Source organism: Homo sapiens, chromosome 16 (assembly GCF_000001405.40).
Source record: "Homo sapiens chromosome 16, GRCh38.p14 Primary Assembly".
NCBI classification, from domain to species: domain Eukaryota; kingdom Metazoa; phylum Chordata; class Mammalia; order Primates; family Hominidae; genus Homo; species Homo sapiens.
The window spans coordinates 28,869,943-28,878,487 of record NC_000016.10 but is presented as its reverse complement, the minus strand read 5'-3'; the positions used below and the strand labels follow the sequence as shown (position 1 = coordinate 28,878,487).

Sequence of the window (8,545 nt, the reverse complement as noted above, 5' to 3'; positions counted from 1 at the left end):
ACCCCCCGGCCCCCAGCTGGTCCTTATGAGGGAGCAGGGGGAGGCCGGGCTCCCCCCTCCACCAGATCAGGGATTGGCTGGCTGAGACTCCAGCAGGAGGTGGTCAGAAAAGAGAGATATTTCTGCTGACAGAGGGGGAACAGTGGGGCTGCAGCCTGAGATGTCACTCATGAGGGACGCAAAGGTAGCCCCAGCCCCAGGGAAGTGGGGTAGGGAGAGACTTCACTTTCTGTCATCTGCTACTGACCCTGCCCCCCCATTGCCTCGACTTCCCCAGCTGCATTGAATTTCCCATTCCAAACTCATCCCCCCAGTTCTTCCCGGAGCCCTCTTCCATCCCCGGCCTCACCTGTCCCTTTCCTCACACCCCCCTTCCTGCCTCATCTGCCCGGAGCCTGTTTCCATTGCCGCAGTCTCCTTCCTCCTCACCCCATTTGCTGAAGCAGTGGCAGAGATACCCCAAGCCTTTGGGGGACTGATGAAGGGAGAACATCTTTTGGGGGCTAGAGGAAGTGAGTGGCTCCTAGAGGGACAAGGGGAAGTGAGGGGAGAGAGTCAAGGGGACAGGGCCGAAGATGGTAACCCTACCCTAGGGAGGGGTTGCCACAGCCATCAACAAGGGATTTAGTGTCCAGGCCCTGGTGAGCAAAGCCAGCACTGCCTGTCTCTCCCCAAAACTGCCCCCCCCCTTCCCCATCGCTCTAACTCAGCCTCTGGGAACAGAGCCCTGAGGGCCCCCCCATCCTGGATAGGGAATCCCCACCCCACCCCCAAGAAAATGGGACACCAAGGCAGCCAAGTAACCCAAGAGGCTACAGAATGTGCTGATGGCAGAGGGGGAGGGGTAACTGTCTCAGGATGGGGGCAGGGGTCACCCCAAGTCGTGCACTGAGGGTCACCTCATCCCACACTGTGCTCTAACCAACGGGGTTTCTGTGGCCAGCCCCAGAGGCCTGTGGTCTGCGCTGCACTCTGCCCTGCTGCATCTGTCCACGAGGGGAACAGGATCAGGCCCATGCTGTGTGCGTGCAGGAGCTAGGCAGACCCCACAGAAAGGTGTCGGGGCCTGGGGAAGCTGGACCAAGCAGGGGCTCCAGACCAAAGGAATGGGGAAGGGTGGACTTCTGGGGACAGGTCTGGGGGAAATAAGGACAGATGTCTAGACCTAGGGGGAAAGGGAGCAGAGACACAGAGCCACCAGGGTCAGAGGGAAGTCCGAGCAGCAGTGGGGAAGAGGGACAGCAGGGAGCCAGGTGGGCGGGGACCCCGGCGCTGGGTGCAAAGCCACAAGTTGTTGCTGAATGCTGGCCTTGGTGTCAGCTTCCTCAGAGAAGCAGCTGCTCTGAGCTGCCCCTCCCCACCCCTGCTCCAGGATGGGGGCGTCTCTTGGTTACCACCAGGGCAGCTGCTGGAGGAGCCGAGGGAGGGTACCAGGGGTGCAGGAAGGGGAGGACAGGCAGGCAGAAAGGCTGGATGAGAGTCAGGGTGAAAGGTCAGTGAGGGGAAGGGGCCTGGTGCCCTGGGCTCAAGTCCGTCCTCTGTCTAGGCCTGTTTCCTGAAATGAGCAGAGGCATGTGGACTTCCTAAGTGTGGCTTCTTAAGGCTGCTTTCCATTCTGGGGCTCAAACTCCGAAGCAGAGGACAGAATAGGAGACAGCAGAGCAAAGAAAAGGGAGGCCCCCACTTTTGGGGAGGGGGATGGCAGCAGGGGTGGATGGAACTTGAGGGTTCAGCCTCCCAGATGCATCCCTTCTGCCTGGACTTGGGTGAGGCGCGGCCTCCTGGGTGAGTTGAGGACAAGGTGCTCCTTCCTGCCTCCTTTTCACAGTTCCAACAAACCCCTCCCCTGAAGCAGAATCCTGCTGTGACCTGAGGGGAGTGGGGGACAGTGGGCTGAATTGGGGGTGCAGGAGAGCATTAGCAGCCTCTCTTCCAAGAGACACAGCCCCCGGCACCTCCACCCGGCCCAGCACCCACCGTCTCCGCTGGACTCAGGCTCACACCCGCCAAGGCTTTTGGCGCTGGCCGGCGTCTCCCCACCGGCACCTGGAGGAGTGACAGGGGCTACTGTCTTACAGCAGTGGGAATGCCCAAACATGGAGAGGGGCAGACGGAGAGATGGGCAGCTTCGAGGGAGTCGAGAGCCTGAGACAGAGGGCAGGGGGCAGGCTTGGCAGCACATTCCTGCCAACAGGCCTTTAAGGTTATTCATTTCTACCTCCCCCGGCTTCCCAGAGGGGGAAACAAGCCAGGGAGGGAAAGCCACCCGCCAGGAGCTGCAGAAGGGCTGCTCTAGGGAAGGCTGTGGGTGTGAACTGCCATGGAGGGAGGCTGAGCCAGAGGCGCCCTCGGGGATCCCTTCCCACAGGGGTCTCCACGCCCAGGGATGGAAAGTGATCCTCCTGTCACACCTGAGGGCTGGAGCTAAAAGCATGGGACACAGAGACACCCTGGCCAGTCCCTGATGAGTGCAGAACTTCGGTTTAACCATCTGTAAAGAAAGGCTTAGAGGGAAAGTCTCTCAGGCCCCAACAGCCAAGACATGCTGGTCTGAGGAGTGGGTGGGTGTCCTCGTCCCCCTCCCCTGCCCATCTTTGGAAGGCAGGTCCCTGAAGGCTGGCAGGGCTGGGGGAGGGGGAGCCTCAGAGCACCAGTTGCTGCTGGAAGATTAGGAGGGGATCAGGCCCTGCTTACCTCGGGGCACCACAGCCTTCACTGGCCATCTCACTAAGAACCCAGCACCCGGCTCTCCAAAGCTTCCCCCACTTTCAAGGCCGGTCCTATCCCCAGTCTCCTGAGGCCAAGGTTTGGGGAGCCCCAGAAATTAGAGCAAGCAGGAGAGCCAGCAGGCTTCCCTCGGCTAGCCCCCCGCCTGGGTGGCCTGGAAGCCCAGCTGTCTCCTGTCCATCTCCCTACAGGACACAAGGCCCAGAATAGCAAGGTCATGAGCGTGGGTAGGGCCTCCTGGAGGTGGGGGCTGAAGCTGAGGGGCATGAGGGTGTGGGCTCCTTGCTGCCTGGGCGGGGAGTGAGGCAGGATGCTGAAAGGCGGAGCTGGACAGTGGGGAAGGGAGAAGGCCGAGCTCAGCGGGTGGGATTCTTCAGCCCCAGGCCCCTCCTTGTTGGCACCCACTACCCCCAGAGCTGGGAAGCCCAGGGGTGCCCTCTGTTGGAGGGCACAGCCACAGATCAGGAAGACTGATTCCAAGAGCAGAGCCTGTGTTTTACGGGGTGGAGGGGTGTGCCACAATGGGGGTGGTGTTATAAACTCAAATGCCCACAGGGCCAGGCCCTCCCAGGGAGCAAAGTGAGCTGGTGGGGATGGGGCAGATGTGGAAGTGGACCCACATCACTGGATCTTCTGATTTTTAAGAGAAGCCAGTGATTTTTTTTTTTTTTTTTTTTTTTTTAGACAGAGTCTCGCTCTGTTGCCCAGGTTGGAGTGCAATGGTGCGATCTTGGCTCACAGCAACCTCCACCTCCTGGGCTCAAGCAATTCTCCTACCTTAGCCTCCTGAGTAGCTGGTATTACAGGCGCGCACCACCACACCCGGCTAATTTTTTGTATTTTTAGTAGAGACGGGGTTTCTCCACATTGGTCAGCCTGGTCTCAAACTCCTGACCTCAGGTGATCCACCCACGTCGGCCTCCCAAAGTGCTGGGATTACAGGCGTGAGCCACCACACCTGGCCTGTGATCTGAATTTTTAATGTGAAACTCAAATGGACACCATGTCCAGGCCAAGCAAACCATGTCAGCAGCTCTGACTCAAGATGAAACTTCACATGTCACAGATGAGGATGCTCAGGCCCGGCGTGGCTACACCTTGCCCAGGCCAGTGAGTGGCAAGGCCAGGACAGAAGCTAGTGCCCTCTGCCATCCCTCCAGCCTGGCTTTGAGAAGGGGGCCATTGGGCCCCTCTGCGGCTACCCTGTGACTGCCACGTTCAATCTCTTCCAGCACAGCCACCGTGCCTCCCATCTCTCACTGCCAGCTCTCTCTAGGGTACAAAGCCATAACTCAGGAAGGGCCGCTGGAGATCACCATGCCTGCCATTCACAGCACTGTCCCATGACAAAAACTCGCAGGAGACCCCAAGAGCATCATTTAGTGCTCCACGAACAAGGCTGTCAGACACAGGGATGGCTCCGAAAGCACAGCACTGCAGAATGATGGGGACTGGCCTGGGCCAGCCCTCTGGCCTGTGGGCACTGAGTGGGCTGCCTTCCCAACCCAACTGTCCCCAGTCCCCACAGCAAACAATGGCCATAGCCATCACGATAGAACCGAGATAAACCTTTTTATTTATTTATGCTTCTCCATTTTGTTTAAAACAACAACAACAACCACCTTAATGTAACTGACAGCCCTTCCCCCTCACCCTGCCTCGGGCTGGGGGTAGTTAATGGGGAAATGGCCCCCAGGGTGGGGCTGACCAGAAGAGCCCCTCAAGGAGCTCATGGAGCCCAAATCCCCTGCCCTGGGGAGGGGACCTGTAGTGTGTGACGGGAGCCTCTCCCGAGCCTCTGCTTGTACCATCAAAGATGCCCTTGGCCAACAAGGGTCAGGAAGCATGGGGGAGGGATTTCGGCCTCCTCTGTCCCTACCCAGCCCAATCTCACGAGCAGGGCTGGGGGGTTTAAAAAGGGTGGAGCGGGTGGGGTTGGCTCACACGAAGGAGTACTGGTTGTTAATGGCCCTGGGGTGGCCCCCTTCCTCTCCATCACCCCCTAGTGGTGACTGCTGCAGCTGCACCATTGGGGGCACCCCCGCGTCCCCACCAGACCCAGCGCCCTGGGCCTCTGAGCCTGGGGCTATGGCCTCTTCCAATTCAACCACGGGGACCAGCTCAACCACGGGGACCAGCTCTTCCGGGACCCCTCCACCGCCCGCTTTCTCTTTCTCTTGCCTCTCTTTGGCTGCTGCGGCTGCTGCTGCCGCCACTTCTGGCGCCCTCGACGCCTCTTCTGCCCCAGGCTGTGGGGGATCTGTCCATGAAGGGGGTTCAGGGGGCTGGGGTGGGTCATGGGAGGTGGTCGGTTCTGGATAGGAATGGTAAGAAAACAGACTGATTGTGGAGGCAGGTGAGCTCCTGCCGTGGCCTCCCCTTCACTCAGCCCCCCAGGAGCGTGGCTGTCTCCCCACATCCCATCTCCTGAGCAACCCCCCATCCATGGAAGATGGATCATGGGCGGTGGTGAGAGGAGGACCACACTTACACACAGTCACTCGCTCCGAAGGGCATGAGGGTGCAGGAGGCATCGGGGTGGCATCCATCTCCCTCGCACACCCCCGCATGGCTCCCAGCCTGCTCCCGGCCTGGGGGGAGGGGCAACGTGGGGACAGATGGGACGGTGGGGCAGGGGAAAGGGAGAGATCAGACAGGGACATGAGACATTGAGGGAGGAGGGAAGGGGATCAGACCGAGTGTCCCCGGGAAGGGCAGGCCCAAGGCCAGGCTGCGACGGAGGGCAAAGACGAGGCCAGGATGGGTCCAGGAGACAGACAGACAATGGAACAGAGGATCCGATGGAATGGGGATGCGCCCGCCCACCTCTCAGCTGCCGCCCCGGCTCCGGCCAGGAGCCTTCTGCCTTCCTGTGTCCTATCAGCGCATTTCTTTCCCTTCCAAACCCCGAGGCACAACAGCCTCCTCTACCCTGCTCTCCCAAGCAAAGCTTCTCCTTGTGATAGTCCCCCCTCCCCGCCCCATCTTTCTGGCACACACACCTCACTTCTTGGGTGCACGGGCACCTCCTCCCCTGCAGACCTGCTCTGCTCACCCTGCTGTCGCTGGGAGGATGGGACATAGCTGACAAGGACAACATCACTGGAGCCTCCCGACTCCAAAGGGATGGGGTGCACCCGGAAGTGCTCGAGCATATCGAAAATGGACTGGAACCACAGGTGCTGGACCCGGCACTGACCCTCCTCGTTCAGCGACAAACGCAGGTGCTGAGGGCGGGATGGGGGAGGTGAGGTAGGAGGCAAAGGCCCTGCCAGGTACAAACCCCCTCCCCCGGCAGTGCTCCCCCACCCCACTGCCAACTATGCACAGAACAGAGCCTTTCCCACAGGGTGGCTCACCTTGGCCTTGCCCTGGAAGTTGAAGGTGAGGACGTATTCACCCCGCCTTGTCTCACTCTGGCGCACCAGGAAGACACCGTGGGAGCCAGTGCCGCCAGTCAGCACCAACTGTGCAGCCTTGAGCCGAGAGAGCATCCCGTGGAACCAAGGATACCCTGAGAGGGGCTGGTCCCCCTCACCGCCCTCTGGCTCCCCCTGGAACAGGAAGGACCCTTCAGGAAGGAGAGAGGGAGGGAAACCGGGGTGTCAGGGCAGCCTCCCCCATCCTGGGAGAAAAAAGCCTTGCCTTCCCCTCAAGGCGCCTGCTCCCCACATGCGTCCCCAACTCCCCTGGGCCAGCTCCCTCGGGATCCCAGGAGAGGTGGTCAGGAAGGTAGGCACCCAGGCCTGGAGACATGCACACTCACACCTCCGGTACCTGTGGCTGTTTCCGGAGTGTCCAAGGGAGGGTAGGGGGCTGAGAGGGGATGAACTGTCCCTGTTGGGGGTCCCTCTTCAATGGGGATGCGGGGGGGCAACTCTGGGGGAAGCAGTTCCATCGAGTCAAAATGGGAGGCGGCAATGGAGGCAGAGCTGGGGGAGATGGATGCCGAGGGGCGGTCTGAGAGGCCCCCATATGCCCCTGGAAAAAAAAAGGGCAAAGCTGAGAACCCAAGAAATTCCTCTTCTAAAGGACTGTCCTGGGCCCATCTCCTCACCAGCAGTCTACCCTGTGTGCAGTCGCTGGCCAAGATGCCAAACAGCTCTGTGGGTAGTGACCCCTGATGCTTTTACCAATGGCTCCTAACTGATGCTTCCTGCGCTGCTGAGGGACTGCAGAGTTATTGCAAGGAGGTTCTAAAGTCCCAATGTGTCTCCATCTTTTTCTGAATCAACAGCTGAAAGACTGTTGCAGAAACGGAGAGCAGAATGCCTTAAATATATATATACATGTTTTTGTAGAGAAGGGGTCTCGCTATATAATAGCCCAGGTTGGCCCTGAGTTCCTGGACTCAAGTGATCTGCCCACCTCAGCTCTGGGATTACAGGCGTGAGCCACCGTGCCCAGCTGCCTCAAATATTTTGACATTCAAAAGGAGTCCTGGGCCAGGCGCAGTGGCTCACACCTGTAATACCCGCACTTTGGGAGGTTGAGGCAGGAGGATCACTTGAGCTTAGGAGTTCGAGAGCAGCCTGGGCAACATGGTGAAACACCATCTCTACTAAAAATACAAAAATTAGCTGGACGTAGTGGTGCACACCTGTAATCCTAGCTACCTGGGAGGCTGAGGCAGAAGAATTGCTTGAACCCGGGAGGCAGAGGTTGCAGTGAGCCGAGATTGTTTCACTGCACTGCAGCCTGGGCGACAGAGCAAGCCTCTGTCTCAAAACACACACACACACACACACACACACACACACACACACGGAATTCTGGCTGCACACAGTGGCTCACGCCTGTAATCCCAGCCTTTTGGGAGGCTGAGGTGTGAGAATGACTTGAGCCCAGGAGTTCAAGACCAACTTGGGCAACATGGTGAGACCCCATCTCTTACAAAAAATAAAAAATTAGCTAGGTGTGGTGGTGGCACACGCCTGTGGTCCCAGCACCTTAAGCCGCTGACGCAGGAAGATGGCTTGAGCCAGGGAGGTCAAGGCTGCAGGAAGCTGTGACTGCACCACTGCACTCCAGCCTGGGAGACATAACAAGACCCTATCTCAAAAACAAAAACACAAACAATAATTTTTTAAAAATAAAAAAATTAAACACACAAACAAAAAAAAAAAGGTGTCCTTTGTTGAACTATAGGACAAAGCCCCTAACTCTTAAGAGGCATCAAAGATGCTCCTTCTATTACTCCCCCAACCCACACCAACTTGAGCTTTACCTTACCTTGTATTCATGTCTCTTCCACTTTAACCCAATTTCCCATCCAATTTGTCCCCATATCCTGGGCCCTCCCCGCAGGTCTCTGCTCTTGCCCTTCACGTCCCCAGGCATGTCCTCTCCTCTCCTCGGCGTCGCAGTCCCTGTCTCTCCCACCTTCCCCTGCTCTCTTCCTCCTGAGCTCCCAACGTGATTCCTGCTTGTGCTGCTCAGGGGACACTAAGCTTTCTATAGGGAGTGATGTCAACCCAGCTGAAAGCCTCTAGAGAACAAGGAGCTCATCTCAGGCATCCTAGCTACCCCATCCTGGCCCGGGACACAGAGCAGGGCCAGGTATGCACTAGGGCCATCCTCCAAGTCTGTCCAACAGCAGGCCACTGCCTACACAAATGTCATAGGCAGGCAGTGCTCAGAAGACAGGCGTGTGGTGCACAGACAGCATGGCTTGGGAAACAGGGTGGCGCAGCCCCTGTCTTCCTCAGTGACCCTCAGGTGTCCTCTCCCTGGTCTTAGCTACTAAGATCTGATGAGATGCAAGGTCCACTCTAGATCTAAGATTCCATGATTCATGTGTTCATTCACTGAATACAGC

The 8,545-nt window shown here is 58.3% G+C and overlaps 1 protein-coding gene across 9 annotated transcripts in view, besides 4 other annotated features; it reads right to left on the bottom strand.

Annotated features, from left to right (window-relative positions):
* Nucleotides 860–949: an enhancer, noted in NCBI's record as "active region_10649". NCBI's record gives its function as "activates an Ori minimal core promoter by ATAC-STARR-seq in GM12878 lymphoblastoid cells {active_cell/tissue: GM12878}" and the evidence as "EXISTENCE:reporter gene assay evidence [ECO:0000049][PMID:35858748]".
* Nucleotides 960–1,029: an enhancer, noted in NCBI's record as "active region_10648". NCBI's record gives its function as "activates an Ori minimal core promoter by ATAC-STARR-seq in GM12878 lymphoblastoid cells {active_cell/tissue: GM12878}" and the evidence as "EXISTENCE:reporter gene assay evidence [ECO:0000049][PMID:35858748]".
* Nucleotides 3,534–4,034: an enhancer, noted in NCBI's record as "H3K4me1 hESC enhancer chr16:28885775-28886275 (GRCh37/hg19 assembly coordinates)". NCBI's record gives its function as "activates a minimal SCP1, AML or CMV promoter by ChIP-STARR-seq in primed H9 embryonic stem cells {active_cell/tissue: H9 hESC(primed)}" and the evidence as "EXISTENCE:reporter gene assay evidence [ECO:0000049][PMID:30033119]".
* Nucleotides 4,035–4,535: an enhancer, noted in NCBI's record as "H3K4me1 hESC enhancer chr16:28885274-28885774 (GRCh37/hg19 assembly coordinates)". NCBI's record gives its function as "activates a minimal SCP1, AML or CMV promoter by ChIP-STARR-seq in primed H9 embryonic stem cells {active_cell/tissue: H9 hESC(primed)}" and the evidence as "EXISTENCE:reporter gene assay evidence [ECO:0000049][PMID:30033119]".
* The window catches only part of SH2B1 (SH2B adaptor protein 1), a 27,600-nt gene continuing 23,337 nt past the window's right edge, over nt 4,283–8,545 (bottom strand). For 4 of the 9 annotated variants that reach the window (NM_015503.3, NM_001145812.2, NM_001145796.2 and 1 more), the window contains 5 exons: nt 6,505–6,708; nt 6,087–6,298; nt 5,783–5,954; nt 5,219–5,318; nt 4,283–5,041 (listed from right to left, as the gene is read on the bottom strand). In NM_015503.3, coding sequence (NP_056318.2) covers nt 5,023–5,041; nt 5,219–5,318; nt 5,783–5,954; nt 6,087–6,298; nt 6,505–6,708 — 707 coding nt within the window. In that variant the 3' untranslated portion in view covers nt 4,283–5,022. Of the gene's footprint in view, nt 5,042–5,218; nt 5,319–5,729; nt 5,955–6,086; nt 6,299–6,504; nt 6,709–8,545 lie in introns of all 9 variants that reach the window. The other 5 variants (NM_001308293.2, NM_001387404.1, NM_001387430.1 and 2 more) reach the window with 2 other exon arrangements.